Source organism: Homo sapiens, chromosome 14 (assembly GCF_000001405.40).
Source record: "Homo sapiens chromosome 14, GRCh38.p14 Primary Assembly".
Classification (NCBI taxonomy): Eukaryota; Metazoa; Chordata; class Mammalia; order Primates; family Hominidae; genus Homo; species Homo sapiens.
The window spans coordinates 44,499,700-44,525,740 of NC_000014.9; the positions used below are offsets into that span (position 1 = coordinate 44,499,700).

At 37.3% G+C, this 26,041-nt stretch overlaps 1 protein-coding gene and 1 long non-coding RNA gene across 2 annotated transcripts in view; one reads left to right on the forward strand and one right to left on the reverse strand.

Annotated features, from left to right (window-relative positions):
• Window positions 1–4,449: 4,449 nt before the first annotated feature.
• Window positions 4,450–7,584, reverse strand: FSCB (fibrous sheath CABYR binding protein). The gene has a single exon (NM_032135.4). It carries the CDS (start codon window positions 7,286–7,288, stop codon window positions 4,811–4,813), a length of 2,478 nt encoding a protein of 825 aa, NP_115511.3. The 5' UTR covers window positions 7,289–7,584; the 3' UTR covers window positions 4,450–4,810.
• A 125-nt stretch (window positions 7,585–7,709) lies between these two features.
• Window positions 7,710–26,041, forward strand: part of LOC105370473 (uncharacterized) — a 31,105-nt gene continuing 12,773 nt past the window's right edge. Inside the window, exons 1-2 of the long non-coding RNA NR_135257.1 lie at window positions 7,710–7,770; window positions 8,953–9,030. This is a non-coding gene — a long non-coding RNA (uncharacterized LOC105370473). The remainder of the gene's footprint in view (window positions 7,771–8,952; window positions 9,031–26,041) is intronic.

The following is a 26,041-nucleotide window of genomic DNA, read 5'->3' on the forward strand; positions in this document are numbered from 1 at the left end:
AAATTCCCCCAGAAATAAAACTCCAGGCCAAGATGGCTTCCCTGCTGAATTCTGTAAAATATTTAGCAGAGAACACATACCAATTCTGCATAATACCTATCAGAAAAATAAAGCAGAGGAAACACTTCTCACTTCATCATGTGAGACCAGCATTATATTGATACCCAAACTAGACAAAGACATTCAAAGGAAAAGAAAAAACTATAGATCTATTCCTCATGAACATAGTTGTAAAAATTACTAACAAAATTTTAGCCCAATTAAATCCCCAAATATATAAAACAAATAGCGCATTATGACTGTATTAGTTTGTTTTCACACTGCTGATAAAGCATACCCAAGACTGGGAAGAAAAAAAAGATCTAATTGAACTTACAGTTCCACATGGCTGAGGAGGTCTCAGAATCATGGTGGGAGGAGAAAGAAACTTCTTACATGGCAGCGGCAAGAGAAAAATGAGGAAGAAGCAAAAGCAGAAACCCTTGATAAACCCATCAGATTTCATGAGAATTAATTCACTATCATTAGAATAGCACGGGAAAGACCAGCCCCCATGATTCAATTACCTCTCCCTGCATCCCTCCCACAACACGTGGGAATTCTGGGAGATACAATTCAAGTTGAGATTTGGGTGGGGACACAGCCAAACCATATCCATGACCAAGTAGGAATTTTCCAGGGAATGAAAGGTTGTTTTAACATTTGAAAATCAATCAACAAAATTCACTGTATTAACAGACCAAAAATGGAAACCATATGGTGATCTTAATAGATCCATAAAAAGCATTTGCCAAAATTCTACATTCATTTCGAATGAAAAAACTCTCAGCTAAGTAGAAATAGAAGGAAATTTCCTCAACCAGAGGAAAAAGGCATCTATGAAAAACTTACAGCTAACATCATACTTAAAAAGTCCTAATGATTTCCCCCAAGATCAGGAACAAGGCAAACTGTTTGCTCTCACCACTTGTATTAAGAGTTCTAGCCAGTACAATAAGACAAGGGAAAGTATTTAAATAAGAAAGGAAAAATTAAAACATGTATTTGCAGGTGATATGATTGTCTATATAGAAAATTCTGAGTAATCGGCCTGGCTCGGTGGCTCATGCCTGTAATCCCAGCACTTTGGGAGGTAGAGGCGGACAGATCACAAGGTCAGAAGTTCGAGACCAGCCTGACCAAGATGGTGAAACCCTGTCTCTACTAAAATTATGAAAATTAGCCAGGCATGGTGGCACACACCTGTAATCCCAGCTACTTGGGAGGCTGAGGCAGAGGAATCGCTTGAACCCGGGAAGGGGAGGTTGCAGTGAGCCGAGATCATGCCATTGCACTCCAGCCTGGGCAACAAGAGCAAAACTCCGTCTTAAAAAAAAAAAATTAAAAATTAAAAGAAAATTCTGAGTAATCTACAAAAAAAGCCACAAGAGCTAATAAATGAGATTGGGAAAATCTCAGTATTCAAAGCCAATACAAAAAGTCAATTGTATTTCTATATGATAGCAACAAAAAATTGGAAGGTAAAATTTAAAAAAATTTAATAGCATCAAAAAAATAGAATGCCTAATAAATTTTATAAAATCAAAAGCTACAAGTCACCTCAGAGAAACTAAAGAAAGCCTAAATAAATGTGGATATATATTAATAAGTGTATTCATGAATCAGAAAATTTGTTATTAGTAGGATATCATTTCTTTCCAAGTTGGTCTTTAGATTCAGTGCAATCCCAGCAAGCGGTTTTGTGGAAATAAACTAATTCAAAAATTTGCACGAAAGTACAAAAGACCTAGAATGGTTAAAACAACTTTTAAAAAGAAGAAAAATATTGGAAAACTAACACTACCTGATTTCAAGATTATAAATCTACTGGTTTCAAAACAATGTTAATTGATGTAGAGACAGACATAAAGATCAATGGAACAATAGTGTACAAAAATATACACCTACATATATGATCAATTAATTTTCAACAAAGGCTCCAAGGCAGTTCAATGAGGACAAGATAATCACTTAAATAGTGTTGGGAGAAGTGGCTACCTGTACATCTAAAAAAATAAAAGTTAACCTCATATCTCTTCTCACACCACATAAAAAGATTACTGATGACAGATCTTAGAATTAAGTATAAGATACAGAAAAATAGCATTTTTAGAAGAAAACTTAGGAAGAAATCTTAGTAATACTCAGTTTGGCAAAGATTTCTTAAATTTGACACATAAAAAAGAAAAAGCATCGGCTTCACCAAAGAAGATATGCAGATGGCAAATAAGCACATAAAAGGATGCCCCAAATTATTAGTCATTAGAGAAACGCACATTAAAATTACAAGGAGATAGCACTATCCTCCTAGTAAAGTGGCTAAAATGAAAAAGACCAACCAGCCCAAGTGTTGATAAGGATGTAGAACAGCTTTAACTCCAACAGCTGTTGGTCAGAAAGTAAATGGTTTGTCACTTTGGAAAACAGTTTGGCAGTATTTTAAAGTCAGACATACACCTATCACACAGCCTGACCATTCTATACCCAGGTATTTTCTCTAGAGAAATAAAAGCATATGTCCACACAAAGACTCATACGTGAATGTTCATAGCAGCTTTATGTAGAATAGCAAAAACTGGAAACAACCCAAATGTGTATCAAATGAATTTTAAAATTTTGCAATATTCATATAATGGAATACAACTTCTCAATAAAAGTAAAAATATATTTTTACTATTTATATAACAGTCTAGAAAAATGCATAAAAATTTCCAGTGACAGAAAACAGATCAGAAATTGCTTGTATGTATGGGGTGGAGGGGTAGAAGCAGGGAAAGAGAAGTTACAAATGATCATAGTGGGAACTTTTGGCTTATGGCCATCTTCATTGTTTTCATTGTGGTGATGGTTTCACAGGTGTATACATGATGTCAAAACGCATCGAACTGTACAATTTAAGTAAATGTTATTTATTTTATGTAGGTTATATCTCAGGAAAGCTATCTTTAAAATACCTCACATTTAAGAAAAAAAATTTAATGGTTAGCAGCCTGACGTCATTCTTCCATTTGGTAGAGACTATCACCTGTATGTGTTTCTATTCACACGAATTTTTGCCAATGTTCAATGTATTCAGATTTTCTTACTTATACCTGTCTCTTAGAAGCATCAAATCAATGTTTCTTGCCCTAAATTTTCACAGCTACTCCTGTCAGAACTTATATTTGCCGCACTTTTTAACTTGATCTCCAGAATCTTACGAATATATTTGTTTACTATTTATACAGTGTACTATATATATATTCAGATAAATGTAAGCTCCACCTCAGCTCCAGAAACATCCAACTTTTAAGTGTTGAAAGCTTTCTCATGTTGCCAATTGATAGATCCCATCTTTATTAAACATATTCTCATTCTAGTATAATTCTGTACTCTCATGTGGCTTCTGAATTTAAAAAGAAAACAAGCCACAACAGAAAATCCAAAATAGAAACAAAAAGACCTAATTTAGAAAACCAAGTTTAACTGGATTTAAGTATCTCAGAAAACATAAAATGGAGGACTTGTACATTGCAAAAAAACAGCCCTCATTCTACATAGTCTAGAATAACATTTTCAACCTCAAGTTTGGCACATACAAGAAAGAATGTTCTTGCAATAATTTTTATAAAATTCTCAAAAACTTACTTAAAATATCATATACTCTTGATTACTGAGGTAATGAAGAATGTGACAAAAATCCAACAATGATAGGACATCAAAGCTTAATGAGGTTTGAAATCATCAACCTAGAGTTCTCACTAAATAGAGAAATACACTGACAAAATTTTAAAATTTTTGAGAAAATTATCTCAATATTTCAGCACATTGTAATTAATTTGTAGCTAGAGAAAATATTTTCCCAACGTTGTTATAACCATGGAAAACTAGATATCCTTTAATAACAGACATCTTAGAATACGTATTATTAAGGCTTGATGCCCTTTAAAAACTTCAATAGCTTTTACTACAGTAATTTCATTTTATTCTAAGTTGCTCTTCATTACCAGTTCATAGAGCAAAAAGCATAAGCCAAACTTCCCAAGGACTCATCACATTCTCAGTTGAAATCAAATTAAAAACTAAACACAGGGATGTGCCCTCAAGGCCATCTAAATATATTTTTCTTTATTTGCACACTTTTTAGTACTTTATCTATGACCATCTTCATTTCATTGAACTGAAGATTTTTACAAAAGAAATAAGGTTTTCTATCCAGACATTGAAATGTAAAACGTGCAAGAAGATAAAGAAGAACACTTAGGCTAAAACCAGGAAAGTAATGCTTGTCTCAGAAGGAATTGAATGAAAAGAGAATAAGAGATACAATGAATTATAATAAGGAGAAAGAGAACATCACATAACTTTAGATGTGTGACTAAGACTCAAGGAATTTAAAGTAGATGACAGATCTGCAGAAAAGACATTGGCTTTTCCACTAGAAACTATATTTACTTATAAAGGGAAGGCAAAGACAAGAAAAGATGGCTGCAGATTAAACTTTACTCGTGTCAACAAGTTTACTGTAGGAAGGATATTTTAAGCAATTTTTTTCAATTATAAACTTACTTTCAAAATAGGTATTTTTCATGCCATAAATTTGAATGAAATTAACACAAGTAATTTTATGCTGCTACAGTTTTTATTGTTCATTTTCCAACCTGTATTCCAAGTCTTGGGGTCCCCTTTAATTTGCCTTATTGACAAAGCTACTTCCCGCTGCCCACCCTTTTCTAAAGTATGTTCTTCCAAAACCATGTAGCTTCTGATTGCTAGCTTAGGTACAACCTGACTACAGTTCAGGAGGACGTTGTTTTAATTCTATATGAAAAACACTTTCTATTTCAAGAGTGGGAGCCTGTCCATCATTGGTATTAGACAAATCTTTAAGGACAGAATTGATTTTTGAAACCTCTTCAAATTTTGCTTCACCTTCCAAAACAACCGATCCTAATTTTACTGCTGGAATTCCTGCCACCTGCGGTGACTGAAATTCTGTAGACACATTCTCTACCAGAGCCTCATCTTCAGGGGTTTGTTCAGATGGTGGAGGTGAAACTTCAGCAGAGGCCTCTCCTATAGGAAACTCCTCAGTCAGAAGCAAATCAGCTGGTGGGGAATGTTTGTCAACGGAGGCCTCTTCTGCAGGGACATCATCAGCTGGGGGAGAGTGTACTGCAGCAAGGGTCTCTTCTATAGGAGTCTCCTCAGCTGGTAGAGACTGAACTTCAGCAGGGGCCTCCTCAGCTGGTGGAGGCTGAACTTCAGCGGGGGCCTCCTCAGCTGGTGGAGGCTGAACTTCAGCGGGGGCCTCCTCAGCTGGTGGAGGCTGAACTTCAGCGGGGGCCTCCTCAGCTGGTGGAGGCTGAACTTCAGCGGGGGCCTCCTCAGCTGGTGGAGGCTGAACTTCAGCGGGGGCCTCCTCAGCTGGTGGAGGCTGAACTTCAGCAGGAGCCTCTTCTGCAGAAGCCTCTGTAGCTGCTAGAAGCTGAATTGCAGCAGAGGCCTCTTCTGCAGTGGTCTCTTCACCTGATGGAGGCTGAAGCTCAAGAGGGGCCTCTTCTATAGAAACTCCCTTAGCTGATGGAGACTGAACTTCAGCAGGAGCCTCTTCTGCAGAAGTCTCCTCAGATAGTGGAGACTGAGCTTCAGCAGGAGTTTCATCTGCAGGAGCCTCTATAGCTGCTAGAAGCTGAATTTCAGCAGAGGCCTCTTCTGCAGTGGTCTCTTCAGCTAATGGAGATTGAACTTCAGCATGAGCCTCTTCTGCAGAAGTCTCCTCAGATAGTGGAGACCGAGCTTCGGCAGGAGTTTCATCTGCAGGAGGCTCCGTAGCTGCTAGAAGCTGAATTTCAGCAGAGGCCTCTTCTGCAGTGGTCTCTTTAGGTAATGGAGACTGAAATTCAGTAGGAGCCTCTTCTGCAGGGGTCTCCATAGCTGTTGAAAGCTGAAGTTCTCGAGCCTCTTCTCTAGGAGCCTCTTCAGGTAATAGAGGCTGAACATCAGCAAGGGTCTCTTCAACAGTGGGAGGCTCTACTTTAGCTGGGGCCTCTTCAAGGGCGCCCTCAGCTGGTAAAGGCTGTACTTCAATGGGAGCCTTTTGTGCTGAGGGAGACCGAATTTCACCAAGAAGCTCTACTGAAGGAGACTTTTCAGCTGGTGGAGGCAGAATTTCAGCAGGAGGCTCTTCTGAAGGGGACTCTTCAGCTGATGGAGGCAGAATTTCAGCCAGAAGCTCTACAGAAGGAGACTCTTCAGCTGATGGAGGCTGAATTTCAGCAGGAAACTCCACTAAAGGGGCCTCTTCAGCAGGTGGAGGCTGAACTTTAACAGAATTCTCCGCAACTGCAGTGGCTGCCTCAGCATCAGGAGTCTCTTCAGTTGATGGCTGTACTTGGACATGGGTCTCTTCAGCAGGTCTGGGCTCCGCTTTAGCAGTGGCCTCTTCAACTAATGGAGGCTGTATTTTAGCTGGGAATTTTTCTGTTGATGGAGGCTCTATTTCAGCAGAAGCCACTTTTTTAACAGCAGAACCTTCTTGTACAACAGGTACAGTTACTTCTTCCCTAAGCTCATCTTCTAAAAGTACCGGGGGACCTTTTTTAGTCTCCTGAGTAAATGAAGTTCTGCTGATATTTTTCTGCCCAATTTCTTCATTGCTGTTTGTTGCTGGTTGAAATTCAGGGTGTTCACTAGCAAAAATCTTTCCCGACGATTTATGTTTCAGGGCATCTTCCTTTGACTTTGTAGAAGAACTATCTGGCCTGGAAATAACCACTATTTCTGATTCACTAAAGTATGTCTGTTGTTCCTTGTCCACTTTTTCTACAGGGGGGATGTTCATCATGGTCCAGTATCCTGTACGGCTGGTCTGCTGAGATCTGTCCATTTTTAGTTGAACTGAAGGTATGTTTGGTGGAATTTCTACATCCTGAACACTCTCTGGCAATTCAATAGCAGCTTCTCTAACATCAGCTGACTTTTCTTCAGGTACCACGGTTTCCTCAACTAACTTGACTTCTTTTTTCTCTTCTACAATGGTGTCTGTCTGGAGAGACTTACTAGTCATTTCCTGTCCATGCTTTCTCTTTGTCCAAGTTTGCTGAAGCTCAGAAGATACTCTAATAGACTCATAGGCTTTGGCAGAGTAGCTGCCTTTGCTTCCAGAAGTATTACCAATACGATGGGTAGCTTTGGGGCTAGATGATTTTGGTATGGCCATGTGTTTCTTTTTCTCTATTACATCAGTTTGCTGGGATTTGCCTACCATTGGTTTGCTGGGTCATCTTCTCTTTCGAATTTCTTGCCTACACGCTGAGATAGGCTGATTAGAGTCATCACTTTCTTCCATTTCTAAGAGTAGTGATTTCAAACTTATTAATTTTCAAGTAATGACCAAAAATCACAAACGTACCAAGTGTCAAAGACTTTCCCTTTCTTAGGTGTCATTCTGTTGAGCTCCCTCAGAAAAAAAGTAATTCATAAGCTATTGCATTCCATACTACACTCTTGTTGGATCCCACCTTATTCAGTAAGCGTCTTTCTTCTTTAGTCTCTGTTATAACTAAATATCACTTTTAGAAGTTTCCTTCAAGGGTCTATGACATCATAGCCAGTTCTGCCTTCAGGATTCCATCAGTGGTATTCCTAGGACTTTTAAACTTAGTATACATCCATAGGTAATGGCTGCAAGTGAGAATCTACTTTTTGAAACAAGTTGAAAAAAAGCATTTGTCTACAAAAGAACATCAGGTAAATTCCAGTAATGCCACTTTCTAATTGCTGAAATTGATGCTTTTTTGAACTTTCAATTCTGTTCTTTTCATCCTATTATCAAAGACAGTAATGCAGAACTCAGAATGCTGCAGCCTATTTTCAATTGTACAAAACAACCCATAACATGAGTGAGGATGTTCTATCAATGTATTTTATATGACTTGAAAGGAAGTTACTACTGTTTGAAAAACTTGAATTCTGAAGTTCATCTTCATATAAGCTGCTTTTCTACATCCTTAGCCTTCAGTAACACAACAGCCTATTATCAAAATATAGAAGGCAGGTTTATCTTCTAAAACATCATGAGATATTTTAATTTTTATTTAACTATTTTAGAGTGTAGTTGCATCCAAAATTTGCCAACTAAAAGAATGAGTCTAAATACATGCCAAGTGAGATAAAATGCACCTTTTGAAGTAGTCACATTAGACTCTGCTGAGTACCTACATGGGAATGAATGCCCCAATGTAGATAAAAACTTTATTTTTATCTTTGTCTTGTTTTTTGAGATAGGCTCTCACTGTGTCACCCAGGCTGGAGTGCCGTGGTGCAATCATAGCTCACTGCAGCCTCAATCTTCTGGGCTTAAGCAATACTCCTACCCCTGCGTCCCCAGTAGCTGAGATTACAGGCATGAGCCACTGCACCAGCTGAAGATAAAAACATTAAATTGAAGCTATGAAAAGGAGGAATTCCAGTCAAGCAGATTGTAGATGACATTGTATTAGATTTGGAATACAGATAAAATTTTAACTCATATCACTCAAGAATTTTACTAGAAAGATGAATATTGATCAAACAGTATGCAAAAACATTGTGCATTAGTCTGAGGAAAATCAAGAAGAGAAAATAGACTTTTAAAATACAGTTATAGGAGACAATGTAATAACCATATGCCAAATAATAATTATGACTGCATTAATCTGGGAATATTTTTAAATTTCTTTATGCCATATTGCCCCTAGAAAACATAGTGAATTGAATAATTCCCCTTTTTTTCACATGCATTGGTGTTATGAGCTGAATGTTTGTGGCCCTGTCTCCTTACCCACAAATTCATATGTTGGAACCCCCAAAGTTATGGTATTTAAAGATGGGATCTTTGGGAGTTACAGGCATACCTCATTTTATTACACTTTGCTTTTTTGTGTTTTACAGATACTGCACTTTTTACAAATTGAATGTTTGTGGCAAGCCTGCATCGAGAAAGTCCATTGATGCCATTTTTTTCAAACAGTATGTGCTCATTTCATTTCTTTGTGTCACATTTTGGTAATTCTTGCAATATTTCAAACTTTTTCATTATTATGCTATCTGCTGTGGTGATCTATGATCAGTGATCTTTAATGTTACTGCTGTAAATATTTTGCAGCATCATACCCTATATATAACAAATTTAATAGATAAATGTTGTATGTGTTCTGACTAATCCACCAGCCAGCTGTTCCCCCATCTCTCTCTCTCTCTCTCCTCAGGCCTTTCTATTGCTTGAGACACAACAATATTGAAATTAGGCAAATTGATAGCCCTACAATGGCCTCTAAGTGTTCACGTGAAAAGAAGAATCACAGACCTCTCATTTGAAATTCATGTTGTTTTCATGCCTGCTAACACAACATCCATTCTGCAGCGCATGGATCAAGGGTTAATTTTGATTTTCAATGTTATTATTTAAATATATTTCATAATGCTATGGCTGCCATAGATAGTGATTCCATTAATGGATCTGAAATTGAAGGTAAATTTAAACCCTCTGTAAAGGATTTACCACTTTAGATGCCATTAAGAATATTTATGAATAATGGTAATAAGTCTAAATATCAACATTAACAGGAGTCTGGAAGAAGCTGATTCCAACCCTCATAGATCACTTTGAGGGCTTCAAGATTTCAGTGGAGAGAGTAACTGCAGATGTGGTAGAAATAGCAAGAAAATTTAAATTTTATGTAGAGCCTGAAGACATGACTGAATTGCTGCAATCTAATGGTAAAACTTTAATGGATGAAGGGCTGCTTCTTATGGATAAGCAAAGAAAGTAGTTTCTTGAGATGGAATCTACTCCTAGTGAGGTGCTGTGAACATTGTTACAATAACAAAGGATTTAGACTATTCCACAAACTTCACTGATAAAGCAATGGTACGGTTTGAGAGGATTGACTCTGATTTTGAAAAAAAGTTATGACACTATAAAATAGTATTGCATGCTACAGAGAAACATTTCATAAAAGGGTCAATTGGTGGGGCAATCTCCATTGGGTTGTTTATCAACATCTTTGTGATCACAAAGAGAGAGCCTGGTGTTTCTCTCAATTATATCTGACAAATATTGCAGGTGTGTTTTGTAATCAAGTTTCTGAAATTTCATGTAATATCTTCAAAGTCTATTTTGGGTCAATTCACAACAAGAAATAAATGTCAAAGCCAACATTGCACTAATTGGGTTAATATAAGATTACATGTATTGGATTAGTTTTGCTTCTTTAACTTAAATAAGACTTTTCCAAATTTCCTTAAACTGAATTGTCCATTTCAATGAAATTGAATTCTCAATTTCCAGTCCTTATATCTTTATGTTTTCCTCTCTTGTCTGTCTTTTTCATACAAGCCATTTTGACAGGGGTGAGATGATACCTCACTGTGGTTTTGATTGGCATTTCTCTGATTAGTGATGTTGAGCATTTTCTCATATCACTGTTTACCATTTCTATGCCATCTTTTAAGCAATGTCTATTCAGATATTTTGCCCATTTTTTGTATAAATTTATGTGGTACAAGTATAATTTTGTTACATAGATATATTGCATGTGGTGGAGTCAGAGATTTTAGTGTTACAATTACCTGAATAATATAAATTGTACCCATTAGGTAATTTCTTATCATCCCCCACTTCCATCTCCCACACACTTCTGAGTCTCCATTGTTACATCATTCAACACTCTGCATCCATGTGGATGCTTTATTTAGCTCCCACTTATAAGTGAGAAGATGCATTGCCTTTCTGTTTCTGAGTTGTTTCTGTTAAAATAATGGCCTCCAGTTCCATTCATGTTGCAGCAAAAGACATGATTTTACTTTTTTAAATTTTCTACCAGGTTAAGCTTTATTATTTTTTAATTTTAATTATACTTTAGGTTCTAGGGTACATGTGCACAACGTGCAAGTTTGTTACATTGGCATACATGGGCCATGTTGGTTTGCTGCACCCATTAACTCGTCATTCACATTAGGTATTTCTCCTAATGCTATCCCTCCCCTTTTTCCACACCCCATGACAGGACCTGGGGTGGGATATTCCCCGCACTGTGTCCAAGTGTTCTATTTTGTTCAATGCTCACCTATAAGTGAGAACATGCAGTGTTTGCTTTTCTGTCCTTGTAATAGTTTGCTCAGAATGATGGTTTCCAGCTTCATCCATATCCCTGCAGAGGTCATGAACTCATCCTTTTTTATGACTGCATATTCCATGGTGTATATGTGCCACATTTTCCTAATCCAGTCTATCATTGATGGACATTTGGGTTAGTTCCAAGTCTTTGCTATTGTGAATAGTGCCGCAATAAACATATGTGTGCATGTGTCTTTACAGTAGCATGATTTATGATCCTTTGGGTATCTACCCAGTAATGGGATTGATGGGTCAAATGATATTTCTAGTTCTAGATCATTGAGGAATCGCCACACTGTCTTCCACAATGGTTGAACTAGTTTACACTCCTACCAGCAGTGTAAAAGCATTCCTATTTCTCCACATCCTCTCTAGCATCTGTTGTTTCCTGACTTTTTAATGATCACCATTCTAACTGGTGTGAGATGGTATCTCATTGTGGTTTTGATTTGCATTTCTCTGATGACCAGTGATGATGAGCATTTTTTCATGGTCTTTTGTCTGCATAAATGTCTTCTTTTGAGAAGTGTCTGTTCATATCCTTTGTCCACTATTTCATGGGGTTGTTTTTTTCTTGTAAATTTGTTTAAGTTCTTTGTAAAAGATCAGATGGTTGTAGATGTGTGGTGTTATTTCTGAGGCCTCTGTTCTGTTGCATTGGTCTATACATATGTTTTGGTACCAGTACCTTGCTGTTTTGGTTACTGTAACCTTGTAGTATAGTTTGAAGTCAGGTAGCAGGATGCCTCCAGCTTAGTTCTTTTGGTTTAGGAGAGTCTTGGCAATGTGGGCTCTTCTTTGGTTCCACATGAACTTTAAAGCAGTTTTTTCCAATTCTGTGAAGAAAGTCATTGGTAGCTTGATGGAGATGGCATTGAATCTATAAATTAACTTTGGCAGTATGGCCATTTTCACAATATTGATTCTTCCTATCTATAAGCTTGGAGTGTTCTTCCATTTGTTTGTGTCCTCTTTTATTTCGTTGAGCAGTGGTTTGTAGTTCTCCTTGAAGAGGTCCTTCACATCCCTTGTAAGTTGGATTCCTAGGTATTTTATTCTCTTTGTAGCAATTGTGAATGGGCATTCACTCATGATTTGGCTCTCTATTTGTCTGTTATTGGTGTATAGGAATGCTTGTGATTTTTGCATATTGGTTTTGTATCCTGAGACTTTGCTGAAGTTGCTTATCAGCTTAAGGAGATTTTGGGCTGAGACAATGGGGTCTTCTAAATATACAATCATGTCATCTGCAAACAGGGACAATTTGACTTCCTCTTTTCCTAATTGAATACCTTTATTTCTTTCTCTTGCCTGATTGCCCTGGGCAGAACTTCAAACACTATGTTGAATAGCAGTGGTGAGAGAGGGCATCCCTGTCTTGTGCCAGTTTTCTAAGGGAATGCTTCCAGTTTTTGCCCATTCACAATAATATTGGCTGTGGGTTTGTCATAAATAGCTCTTATTATTTTGAGATACATTCCATCAATACCTAGTTTATTGAGAGATTTTAACATGAAGGCTGTTGAATTTTGTCAAAGGCCTTTTCTGCATCTATTGAGATAATCATGTGGTTTTTGTCGTTGCTTCTGTTTATGTAATAAATTAAGTTTATTGATTTGCATATGTTGAACCAACCTTGCATCCCAGGAATGAAGCCCACTTGATTGTGGTGGATAAGCTTTTTGATGTGCTGCTGGATTTGGTTTGCCAGTATTTTATTGAGGATTTTCACATCGATGTTCATCAAGGATATTGGCATAAAATTCTCTTTTTTTGCTGTGTCTCTGCCAGGCTTTGGTATCAGGATGACGCTGGCCTCATAAAATGAGTTAGGGAGTATTCCCTCTTTTTCTATTGATTGGAATAGTTTCAGAAGGAGTGGTGCCAGCTCCTCTTTGTACCTCTGGTAGAATTTGGCTGTGACTCCGTCTGGTCCTGGACTTTTTTGGTTGGTAGGCTCTTAATTTTTTCCTCAATTTCAGAGCCTGTTATTGGTCTATTCAGAGATTCAACTTCCTCCTGGTTTAGTCTTGGGAGGGTGTATGTCTCCAGGAATTTATCCATTTCTTCTAGATTTTATAGTTTACTTCTGTAGGGGTGTTTATATTATTCTCTGATGGTAGTTCGTATTTCTGTGGGATCTGTGGTTATATCCCCTTTATCATTTTTTATTGTGACTATTTGATTCTTTTCTCTTTTCTTCTTTATTAGTCTTGCTAGCGGTCTATCAATTTTGTTATCTTTTCAAAAAACAAGCTCCTGGATTCATTGATTTTTTGAAGGTTTTTTTGTGTCTCTATCTCCTTCAGTTCTGCTCTGATCTTCGTTATTTCTTGCCTTCTGCTAGCTTTTGAATTTGTTTACTCTTGCTTCTCTAGTTCTTTTAATTGTGATGTTAGGGTGTCAATTTTAGATCTTTCCTGCTTTCTCTGTGGCATTTAGTTCTATAAATTTCCCTCTACAAACTCCTTTACATGTGTCCCAGAGATTCTGGTACGTTGTGTCTTTGTTCTCATTGGTTTCAAAGAACATTTTTCTCTCTGCCTTCATTTCGTTATTTACCCGGTAGTCATTCAGGAACAGGTTGTTCAGCTTCCATGTAGTTATGCGGTTTCAAGTGAGTTTCTTAATCCTGAGTTCTAGTTTGATTGCACTGTGGTCTGAGAGACAGTTTGTTATAATTTCTGTTCTTTTACATTTGCTGAGGAGTGCTTTACTTTCAACTATGTGGTCAATTTTGGAATAAGTGCAACGTGGTGCTGAGAAGAATGTATATTCTGTTGATTTGGGTTGGAGAGTTCTCTAGATGTCTATTAGGTCTGCTTGGTGCAGAGCTGAGTTCAATTCCTGGATATCCTTGTTAATCTTCTATCTCATTGATCTCATATTGATACTGGGGTGTTAAAGTCTCCCATTATTATTGTGTGGGAGTCTAAGTCTCTTTGTAGGTCTCTAAGGGCTTGCTTTATGAATCTGGGTCCTCCTGTATTGGGTGCATATATATGTAGGATAGTTAGCTCTTCTTTTTGAATTGATCCCTTTACCATTATGTAATGGTTTTCTTTGTCTCCTTTGATCTTTGTTGGTTTAAAGTCTTTTTTATCAGAGACTAAGATTGCAACCTCTGCTTTTTTTTTTTTTTTTTTTTTTTTTTGCTTTCCATTTGCTTGGTAGATCTTCCTGCATCCCTTTATTTGTGTGTGTCTGCATGTGAGATGGGTCTCCTGAATACAACACACTGATGGGTCTTGACTCTTCATCCAATTTGCCAGTCTGTGCCTTTTAACTGGGGCATTTAGCCTATTTACATTTAAGGTTAATATTGTTACGTGTCAATTTGGTCCCATCATTATGATGTTAGCTGGTTATTTTGCCCATTAGTTGATGCAGTTTCTTCCTAGTATTGATGGTCTTTACAATTTGGCATGTTTTTTGCAGTGGCTGGTACCAGTTGTTCCTTTCCATGTGCTTCCCTCAGGAGCTCTTGTAAGGCAGCCCTGGTGGTGACAAAATCTGTCAGCATTTGCTTGTCTGTAAAGGATTTTATTTCTCCTTCACTTATGAAGCTTAGTTTGGCTCGGTATGAAATTCTGGGTTGAAAATTATTTCCTTTAAGAATGTTGAATATTGGCCCCCACTCTCTTCTGGCTTGTAGAGTTTTTGCTGAGAGATCCACTGTTAGTCTGATGTGCTTCTCTTTGTGGGTAACCTGACCTTTCTCTCTGGCTGCCCTTAACATTTTTTCCTTAATTTCAACCTTGGTGAATCTGACAATTATGTGTCTTGGGGTTGCTCTTCTCAAGGAGTATCTTTGTGGTGTTCTCTGTATTTCTTGAATTTGAATGTTGGCCAGCCTTCCTAGGTTAGGGAAGTTCTCCTGGATAATATCCTGAGGAGTGTTTTCCAACTTGGTTCCATTCTCCCTGTCACTTTCAGGTACACCAATCAAACGTAGATTTGGTCTTTTCACATAGTCCCATATTTCTTGGAGGTTTTGTTTGTTTATTTTTACTCTTTTTTCTCTAAACTTCTCTTCTCCCTTTATTTCATTTATTTCATCTTCAGTCACTGATACCCCTTCTTCCACTTGATTGATCAGCTATTGAAGCTTGTGCATGCATCACATAGTTCTTGTACCATGGTTTTCAGCTCCATCAGGTCATTTAAGGTCTTCTCTACACTGTTTATTCTAGTTAGCCATTCATCTAATCTTTTTTAAAGGTTTTTAGCTTCCTTGCAATGGGTTCGAACATCTTCCTTTAGCTCAGAGAAGTTTGTTATTATCAACCTTCTGAAGCCTGCTTCTGTCAGCTCATCAAAGTCATTCTCCATCCAGCTTTGTTCTGTTGCTGGCGAAGAGCTGCGATCCTTTGGAGGAGTAGAGGTGCTCTGGTTTTTAGAATTTTCAGATTTTCTGCTCTGGTTTCTCCCCATCTTTGTGGTTTTATCTACCTTTGGTCTTTGATGTTGGTGACCTACAGATGGGGTTTTGGTGTGGATGTCCTTTTTGTTGATGTTGATGCTATTCCTTTTCGTTTGTTGGTTTTCCTTCTAACAGTCAGGTCCCTCAGCTGCAGGTCTGTTGGAGTTTGCTGGAGCTCTACTCCAGACTCTTTTTGCTTGGGTATCACCAGCAGAGGCTGCAGAACAGCAAATATTGCTGCCTGATCCTTCCTCTGGAAGCTTCATCCCAGAGAGGCACCCACCTGTATGCGAAGTCAGTTGGCCCCTACTGGGAGATCTCTCCCAGTTAGGCTACACGGGGGTCAGGGACCCACTTGAGGAGGCAGTCTGTCCATTCTCAGAGCTCAAACACCATGCTGGGAGAACTGCTGCTCTCTTCAGAGCTGTCAGACAAGGACGTTTAAGTCTGCAGAAGTTTCTGCTGCCTTTTATTCAGAGGCAGTAGGCCTTGCTGAGCTGCGGTGGGCTCCGCCCAGTTTGAGCTTCCCAGGCTGCTTTGTTTACCTACTCAAGCCTCAGCAATGGCACATGCCCCTCCCCTGCCAGGCTGTCACCTCGCAGGTCAATCTCAGACTGCTGCGCTAGTGGTGAGCAAGGCTCCGTGGGCATGGGACCTGCCAAGCCATGTGCGAGATATAATCTCCCGGTGTGCCATTTGCTCAGACCATTGGAAAAGTGCAGTATTTGGGTGGGAGTGTCCCATTTTTTTCCAGGTACAGCCTGTCACGGATTCCTTTGGCTAGGAAAGGGAAATCCCCCAACCCCATCCGCTTCCCGGGTGAGGCAATGCCCCGCCCTGCTTCAGCTGACCCTCCATGGACTGCACCCACTGTCCAACCAGTCCCAGTGAGATGAATCAGGTACTTCAGTTGGAAATGCAGAAATCACCCATCTTCTGTGTTGATCACACTGGGAGCTGCAGACTGGAGCTGTTCTTATTCTGCCATTTTGAAACTCCTAGCAATTTTATCATTTTTTATGGCTGAAAAGCATTCTAACATGTATATACACTACATTGGCTTTATCCAGTCATCCAATGACGGACACTTAAGCTGATTCCTTATCTTTGCTACTGTGAATATTGTTGCGGTAAACATACTAGTATAGGTATCTTTTTGGAACAATGATTGCCCGTTCTTTAATTTGATAATTTGGGTTTGTTTTTTTTTCTAGTGAGTTGTTTGAGCTCCTTGTATATTCTGGTTATCAATCTCTTGTCACATGATTAGTTTGCAAATGATTTCTCCAATGCTATGGTTGTCTTTTCACTTTGCTGGCTGTTTCCTTTGCTGTGCAGAAGATTTTTAGCTTGATGCGATCCCATTTGTCTGTTTTTGCTTTGGTTGCCTGTGCTTGCCCAGACCAATGTCCTGGAGTATTTTTACTAGTTTCATAGTGTTATATCTTAGATTTAAGTCTTTAATCCATTTTAATTTGATTCTTGTGTATGGTGAGAGATAGGAGTCTACTTTCATTCTTTTGCATATAGTGATCCAGTTTTCCCAACACCATTCATTGAAAAGACTATCTTTTCCCCCATTGTGTGTTCCTGTTGTCTTTCTCAAAAATGATTTGATTGTATGTAAATTCTTGGATTTATATCAAGGTTCTCTATTCTGTTTTACTGGCCTATGTGTCTGTTTTTATGCCAGTACTGTGTTATTTGGTTACTATACTTTGTGGTAAATTTTGAAGTCAGGTAGTATGATGCCTCCTGTTTTGTTCTTTTTGCTCAGGACTGCTTTAGCTATTCAGGGTCTTTTGTGGTTTCGTACAAATTTTAGAATTTTTTTTTCTATTTCTGTAAAGAATATCATTGGTATTTTGTTAGGGATAACATTGAATCTATAAATTGCTGAGTAGAATTGTAATTTTAATAATGTTAATTATTCCACTCCATGAGCATGGAATATCTTTCCATTTTTTGTATTATCTTCTATTTCTTTTATTAAAGTTGTATAGTTTTCCTTGTCTAGATCTTACACTTCATTGTCTAGATTGACTCCAAGGTATTTTATATTTGTGCAGCTACTGTAAATGGGATTGCTTTCTTGATTTCTTTTTCAGATTGTCCATTACTGGCATATAAAAATGTGGCTGATTTTTATATATTTATTTTGTTTCTGCAACTTTACTGAATTTATCAGTTTAAACAGTTTTTTGGTGGAGTCTTTAGGTTTTTTTATGTATAAGATCATGTTATCTGTGAACAAGGCTAATTTGACTTCTTCCTTTCCAATGTGGATGCTTTCTGCTTCTTTTTCTTGCCTAATTGATCTATCTAGGACACCCAGTTTTATGTTGAATAATGGTGGCAAAAGTGGGCATGCTTGTCTTGTTCCAGTTTTTCCCCATTCAACACAATGCTAGATGTGGGTTTGTCATATGTGGTCTTTATTATTTTAAGGTATGTCCTTTCTATATCCACTTTGATGAGGGTTTTTATCATAAAGAAATGTTAAATTTTATCAAGTGCTTTTTTGGCATCTATTGAAAGGATCATGTACTTTTTGTTCCTGATTCAGTTAAGGTGATATACCACGTTCATTGATTTACATATGTTGAACCATCCTTACATCCCTGGGATGAATTCCACTTGATCATGCTGAATGATCTTTTTAATGTGTTGTTGCATTCAGTTTGCTAGTATTTTGTTGAGGATTTTTGCATCTTGTTCATCAGTGATATTGGCCTGTAGTTTTCTTTTTTGCTGTGTCCTTCTCTGGTTTTGGAATTAGATTAACGCTGGCCTTGTAAAATGACCTTGGAAGTCCTCCCTCCTCTTCTATTTTCTGGAATAGTTTAAAGAGAATTGATATTAATTCTTGTTTAAAGGTTTGGTAAAATGCAACAGTGAAGCCCTCAGGTCCTGGGCTTTTATTTGATGAGAGACTTTTTATTACAGCTTCACTATCATTACTTGTTACTGGTTTGTTGAGGTTCTATATTTCTTCATGGTTCAATCTTGGCAGGTTTTATGTGTCCAGTAATTTATCTGTTTTTTCAGGTCTTCAAATTGGTTGGCATATAGTTTTTCATAATAGTCTCTAAGAATTATTTGTATTGCTGATGTTTTGGATGTCGGGTCTCCTTTCTTGCTTCTGATTTTATTTATTTCAATCATCTCCTTTTTTTAAGTCTAGCCAAAGGTTTGTTGATTTTATTTTTCAAAAAACCCTTTTTGGTTTTGCTGATCTGTATTGTTTTTTAGTCTCCATTTCATTTATTTCTGTGCTGATATTTATTATTTCTTTCCTTGTACTAATTTTGGGTTTTGTTTGTTCTTGCCTTTCTAATTCCTTGCAGTGCATCATTAGGTTGTTTATTTGAAGGCTTTCTACTTTTATCATACAGGCATTATTGCTATAAACTTCCTTCTTAGTACTGCTTTGCCATATCCCATAGATGCTGATTTGTTGTATTTTCATTTACATTTGTTTCAAGAAATTTTAAATTTCTTAATTTCTTCATTGATTCATTGGTTGTTCCGGAACATGTTGTTTAATTTCCACGTGTTTGTGTATTTTCGAAGGTTCCTCTTGTTACTGATGTCTAATTTGATTCCATTGTGGCCAGAAAAGGTACTTTATATGGTTTTTATCTTTTTAAATTGATTCAGACTTGCTTTGTAGCCTGGTCTATTCTAAAGAATGTTCCATATGCTGATGAAAAGAATGTGTATTCTGCAGCAGTTAGGTTAAAAGTTCTTTAAATATCAGTTAGGCCTATTAAATCTAGTATATTGTTTAACTCTGTTTCTTTGTTGCTTTTCTGTCTGGATGATCGGTCTGTTACTGAAAGTGGAGTATTAATGTCCTCTACTATTTTTGTATTGCAGTCTGTCTCTCCCTTTAGATCTATTAACGTTTGCTTTATACACTTGGGATCTCCAGTGTTAAATGCATAGATATTTAGGATTTGTATACTGTCTTGCTGAATTGACCTCTTTATAGTGACTTTCTTTGTCATTGTTACAGTCTTAGATTTGTAAACTATTTTATCTGATATGAGTAGCTACCCTTGTTCATTTTTGGTTTCCAGTTACATGGAATATCTTTTCCACCACTTCACTTTCAGTTTATGTGTATCTCTATAGGTAAAGTGGTTTTCTTGAAGTCAGCACTTAGGTGGGTCTTGTTTCTTAATCCATGCAGCCACTCTACCCCTTTTAATTAAAGAATTGTAACAATTTACATTCAGTGTTATTACTGATAAGACTTACTATTGCCATTTTTTGGCTTGTTTTCTGATTTTAAGATTCCTCTCTTCCTTTTCTCCTTCCTTTCTTTCTGTCTTCCTTTGTGGTTAAGTGGTTGTATCTGGTAGTATGTTTTAATTTTCTTTATTTTTAGTGAATCTAGTGTAGGTTTTTCACTGTAGTTACCATGAGGCTTACAAAGAACATCTTATTTACATAACAAGTTATTTTAAGGAGGCGACAACTTATCTTACATCACAAGCAAAATAATAGAAACAAAAGTAAAAAAACCCACACAAAAAAATTCTACACTTTAACTCTACCTTCTCCCCAACCACACTGTGACTTTTAGTTGTCTCAATGTACACATTTTTATATTATCTATCTCTTAGCAGGTTGCTATAGCATTATTGTTCTTTGTCTATTTGTCTTTTGGGCTTCATGCTAGATTTATGGGTGGATTTCACACTACAAATACAGTAATAGAGTACTCTAGATTTTCCCATTTACTTAATTTAACCAATGGATTTTATACCTTAAAGTTTTCTTTTACACATTAGTGCTTTTTTCTTTCAGACTGATGAACTCCCTTTAGCGTTTCTTGCAAGACAAGTCTGGTGTTGGTGAATTCTCTCAGTTTTTGTTTGTCTGAGAAAAAAATATATATGTCTCTCCTTCGTAGTTAAATGTTAATTTTGCTGGTTGCAGTATTCTTTGATGACAGTTTTTTTTTTCCTTTGGGCACAGTGAAAATGTCATTCTAGTCCCTCCTGCCTATATGGTTTGAGGAGTCTGTTGCCAGATGAATTTGGAACTTCTTCCTATGTTGTTTCTTTTCTCTTGCTGCTCTTGACATCTGTTTGTCTTTGACCTTTGAGAGTTTAATTATTATATGCTTTATGATAAGTAGCCATATTTGGGTTGAATCTGTTTGGTGCCCTAAGACCTTTCTGTACGTAGTATTTCTTTCTTTCTCAAGTTTTGGAAAGTTTTCTGTTCTTATTTACTTGAATAAACTTTCTACACCCTTCTTGCTCAGCCCCCTCTTGAACACCAATAATTCTTAGATTTGGTCTTTTGAAATAATTTTCTATGTCTTGTAGGTGGCCTTCAGTCCTTTTATTCATTTTCTTTTTCCTCCTCTGTGTATTTTCAAATAGCTGGCCTTCAAGCTCACTGATTTTTTTCATTGGTTGGTTCATTCTGCTGTTGAGAGCCTCTAAAGAGTGCTTCAATTCAGCAAATGTATTCACTTCAGCAATGTCTTATTATTTTAATCTTTTTGTTAAATTTCTCTGCTAGATTTCTGAATTTCTTTTCTGTGTTACCTTGGAGCTCATTGAGTTTTCTTAATATTGGTATTTCAAATTCTTGGTCAGAGAGCTCACATATCACCATCTTGTTAGAATCAGTCATTTAATTTTTACTTTGTCCTCATGGGGAGGTAATGGTTTTCTGTTTGCTGTTGTTTCTTGAGGGCATATGTCTATGTCTTTCTATTGAATAATTAATTATTTATTCTAGTTTACTCTGTCTGGCTTGTTTGGGCTTTTACTGAATATGTTTGCTTAGCAAATCTTGTAGGTCACTGCCTCCTTGTTGATGCTGAGTGACATCTTAGACCCAGGTTCACTTCAGCTATAATAAATGGTCAGAGTGCTGCCTGTCCCAAGTGGGGGATGTTCCAAAGGGATTATCCCAGCAGTGTGGGAAGAGTGACTAGGGGTTTTTGTCCAGTGGATCCAAAGAACATACCTTCTACAGTGTGCTGCTGCTGAACAGTCATTCTGATTTGACATCTCCTTTGGCCAAGTTACACAGCAGAGTTTCTAGGATTAGGAAATGGTAGTACCAGCTCCCCTCATTGTCTCTGCCTGTCCTCAAAGATATTTCTCTATTCAGGCAGTCATGATGCTTCCTATGAGAACTCAAGAAGGTGGAGAAGCTGGTCAAGAACCTCAATTTCACTTCTTCCACTGTATAAATCATGAGTTGTGGGGAGATTTTTTATATGCTTGGTGCCGGGCAGAATGGGGGTGGAGGGGCATTATGGATGTGGAAGATCAATTCTCCTACCATCTACTCAGAGTTTTTCCACTTTTCTGAAGCCCCAGCAACTGTCTCTCATTTTTACACTTGAGCTCTGCGTTGTTGGTGGTGAAAATCTTAGTGTTCCATGTTTGTTTTTGGTTTTCTGTATGGAGGAGAGGGAGGGGAAGCCAGCTTGCCTCTACACTGCCATTTTGGAACTGGAAGTCAGAACTTGATCTTTCTTAATCATGTACCAAACTGTCATAGTAAACTGCCTTTTGCTACTAGTATTAGCTTGTTCATAAAAATATCATGCATAGATAATTTTAAAAATTACCTAAGATTTCAAGTAGAATAATGAGATTTCATGGAGCAGTTTCTCATTCCATTCTTAAGACATACATATGTTTCTTTTGCTCGAATCATCTACATGACCCCACTAATCATTACACAAACTCTCTTTCAATTTAGGACTTGGCATTTTATCTTTTGTTCTAGAAATCCCAGATGATTCAGCTCTTTCTCCCTCACTTGGTTCACATCTGTTATGGATTGAATTGTATTTCCCCAAAAGATACGTTGAAGTCCTACTGCCAGTACCTGTGAATATGACCTTCTTTGGAAATAGGGTCTTTACAGATGTAATTAGGTTAAAATGGTATCCTTATAAGAAGAAAAATATTGGGGCTGGGTGCAGTGGCTCACACCTGTAATCTCAGCACTTTGGGAGGCTGAAGCAGGTGGATCACTTCAGGTCAGGAGTTTGAGACCAGCCTGGACAACATGGCAAAATCCTGTCTCTACTAAAAATATAAAAATTAGTCAGGCATGGTATTGTGTGCCTATCATTCCAGCTACTCAGGAGACTGAGAAACAAGAATTGCTTGAACCTGGGAGGTGGAGTTTGCAGTGAGCCAAGACTGTGCAACTGCTCTCCAGCTTGGCTGATGGAGTATGTCTCCTTAAAAAAAAGAGAGAGAGAGAAAGAAAAATTTGGGCACAGACACAGAAGGAAGATGGGCATGTAAAGATTGAGAGATTAGAGTTATGCTGCCACACAGTAAGGAATATCTGGGACTACAAGAGGCTTCAGAGGGACCATGGTCCTGCTGCCACCTTAATTTGGGATTTCTAGCCTCCAGACTTTGAGGGAATAAATTTGTTATCATAACTCAATTTGTGATACTTTCTTGTTGCAGCCCTAGGAAACTATTACAACATCATTTTGTAGCCCCATGTTTCTGACTCTTGCCTGACACACTATACTTCTGACTCTCACTCTCTGGTGTTTGTTTCTTTATTTTTTATTCAGGCTTGTCATTACCATGTTTGACCCATTTCTATAATCATAAAACCACAGAGATTTGCTGAAAGGCCTCCTCCTGATGATTTAATTTTATCAAAACAAGTTTGCTGAGTAGCATTTAATTTTACTTATAATTCTAATGACTTTGAAAGCTATGATTTAGTGATGGCAGAGATGCTACGAATTAATATAGGGCAAATATCTAAACTGTGACCTATATTGCCTTGTTTTTAACCGAATAGAACAAGTAGGATGAAGCCTGAAAAAATGCCCATTTGCTATAACAATGAAGAGGTTATTGGTAATTTTATTAATAGTAAGAGCAACTTCAGTAGAAGGGTGAGGACAGAAGTCATAAAATTTTAAAATCTCTGTACATTAAAAATAAAATGCAATATGAGAAACTAAGAAAAATAAGTGTGAAATTTCACATATTTAGCCTTAATATCCAAAATCAATATAAAAATAACACAATAGGAAAATTAACAAAAGGCATAAATAGAAAACTTGAAGAAGAAAAATAAGACCAATAAATACATGAAAGAGATCAAATTCACTTCTGAAATAAAAATTAAAATAATTCCAATGTAAAAGTAGCAAAGATTTATTTTAAAGATACCCAAAAAATAAAGTGCTAGTAAACGGATAATCTCCCACATTTCTGTCTAGAGTTTGACTCGATATAATCTTTATTATGGATAATTTGAAAATACATATCAAATTTCTAAATTCTGTAGATTTAATGTACAAGGTAAGTATAGTTAATAACGTATTATATACTTGAAATTGCTAAGGGAGTAGATTTTAAATGCATTTACCACAAAAAAATAGTAACTATATGAGGTGATGAATATGTTGATTGTGATAATCACTTCATAATACATATATCAAAACATTACATTGGGCTGGACACAATGGCTCATACCTGTAATCCCAGCACTTTGGGTAACTGAGGCAAGTGGATGGCTTGAGCTCAGGAGTTTGAGACCAGCCTGGGCAACATGGTGAAACCCTGGCTCTACAAAAAAATTTAAAAATAAGCCAGGCATGGTGGCTCATGCCTGTAGTCTCAGCTACATGGGAGGCTGAGATGGGAGGATCGCTTGAGCTCAGGAGGCAGAGATGACAGGAGTCAAGATTGCGCCACTGCACACCAGCCTGGGTGACAGAGGGAGACCCTGTCTCAAAAACAAAACCCAAAAAACAAAAAACACATCACATTGTGCAACTTACATGTATACAATTTTTATGTGTAGAATATATAAAGTTTCTAAAATATGCACACAACTTACCAACAATTCTACTTTCAAGAAACTTGAATTTTTGAAATAATTATTTCCTGAAGAAATATTTTTGAGCACCTATATATTCCAATGACTGCTGCTAGGTATTAGGGAAACAAAAAAACTAGACATTGCTTCTTGCCTTCATGTACCTTACAGTTTAGTGGGAGAAACTGAATATATAAACAAGTTTAAAATCAAGTTTAAAAAGTATATTAAGTAGTGAAGAGAGCATATACTTTACCTAGGTTAATAGGAGCTGAAGGGGTTTGTAAGAGAGAGCTTCTATTAGAGAAAGCAAAAAAGAGTCACATTAGGAGGCAAATGCCATGTTCTAGAAACTGTAAGAAAACTGCTGTGGCTGGAGGGAAGGCCAAGTAAGGAAAGCATGCATGAGATATGCTTGAACAAGTAGACAGGAGCCTGATGATGCAGCGACTTACAGATTCTACCAAGAATTGTTATTTTGTTTTAAATGCCACATAAAAACATTGAAGAGTTTTAAGTTTCCTCTGTCCTCTGTGTTTATAATGATTGTAGGAACAAGGAGGAAGTGTATTAATGCCTATGCTGCAAAACAAATGACCACAAATAGCCCATCTTAAAACAATCCAATTTTATTCTGTTTCTGTGGGTCAAGGATCATGGTACTGGTGAAATGAGTCCTCTGATCTGGATCTCGCCAGGCTGGAATCAATGTCAGCTGCACCTTCAGTTAAAGCAGAGATGGATGTAGCAGGCCATCAGTATATTGACAATGTCTGAAATCTTTTGTGAGGGTTAGGGAAATGCCCAAAGTAAAAGGATTGAATTGGATGGGATCAATGAAAGATTAGAAAAGGAATCAAATGAGTATGAGAGTTGACCAAGATGGCCTATGTCGCCCTCAGCTTGACTAAATTTCAGATAGGCTTCTTCTCTGGGACCTGTTTTTTTAGAGCATTTATTTAAAAAATAAACTCGCAATTGTAAATTCTTTCCCTGCTCCTCTAAGATATAAATCTTTCTTTCTAAAAGCAAATCTTTCTAAAAGCGTCCTGCCAGTTTTACAATCCAGGACTGCTTTCTCAAGGACCTGGGAGCCATCCTTTTGAAATGCAGTCACCTAAGAAGATAGTGCCCCTATCTTCCATTCTCTGTGGGATGATAGAAGACTACATTCAGCTCCAAACTGTAAAACTACCTTCTGTCATGAATACATGAGAAAATTTACTTTTCCTTTCGGTAAGGCCAATTAGCAAGCACAGATGACCTAAGCTTTGCCCCACCCCAGGTCTTTGTCTCTCAAAAATCCTCCCGTCATTTGTTTTAGTGAAGTTGAGTTCAGACAATGTGTTCATCTCTCTTTTATTACAATAGCATTGAACAAAGTCTTCCTTGCTGGTTTAGCTTGCTTCGATGCAATTTTTTGCTTTGACAGAACAAAAGAATAGATTTTTTTTCAGGCAAAGTTTAGCATGTGTAGTAGCCAAAGGAACAAAGACATGAAGCATCCTGAGATAGTGTAGTCTCAATGTTACCAAATATCTCAGACTAAAAAGTGTTTTACTGTTAGTGTAGGCTGCAATGTCTTATTCTGG

Coding starts and splice junctions, on each gene's coding strand:
- FSCB (NM_032135.4), bottom strand. CDS start 7,288: ATGGTAGGCAAATCCCAGCAAACTGATGTAATAGAGAAAAAGAAACAC.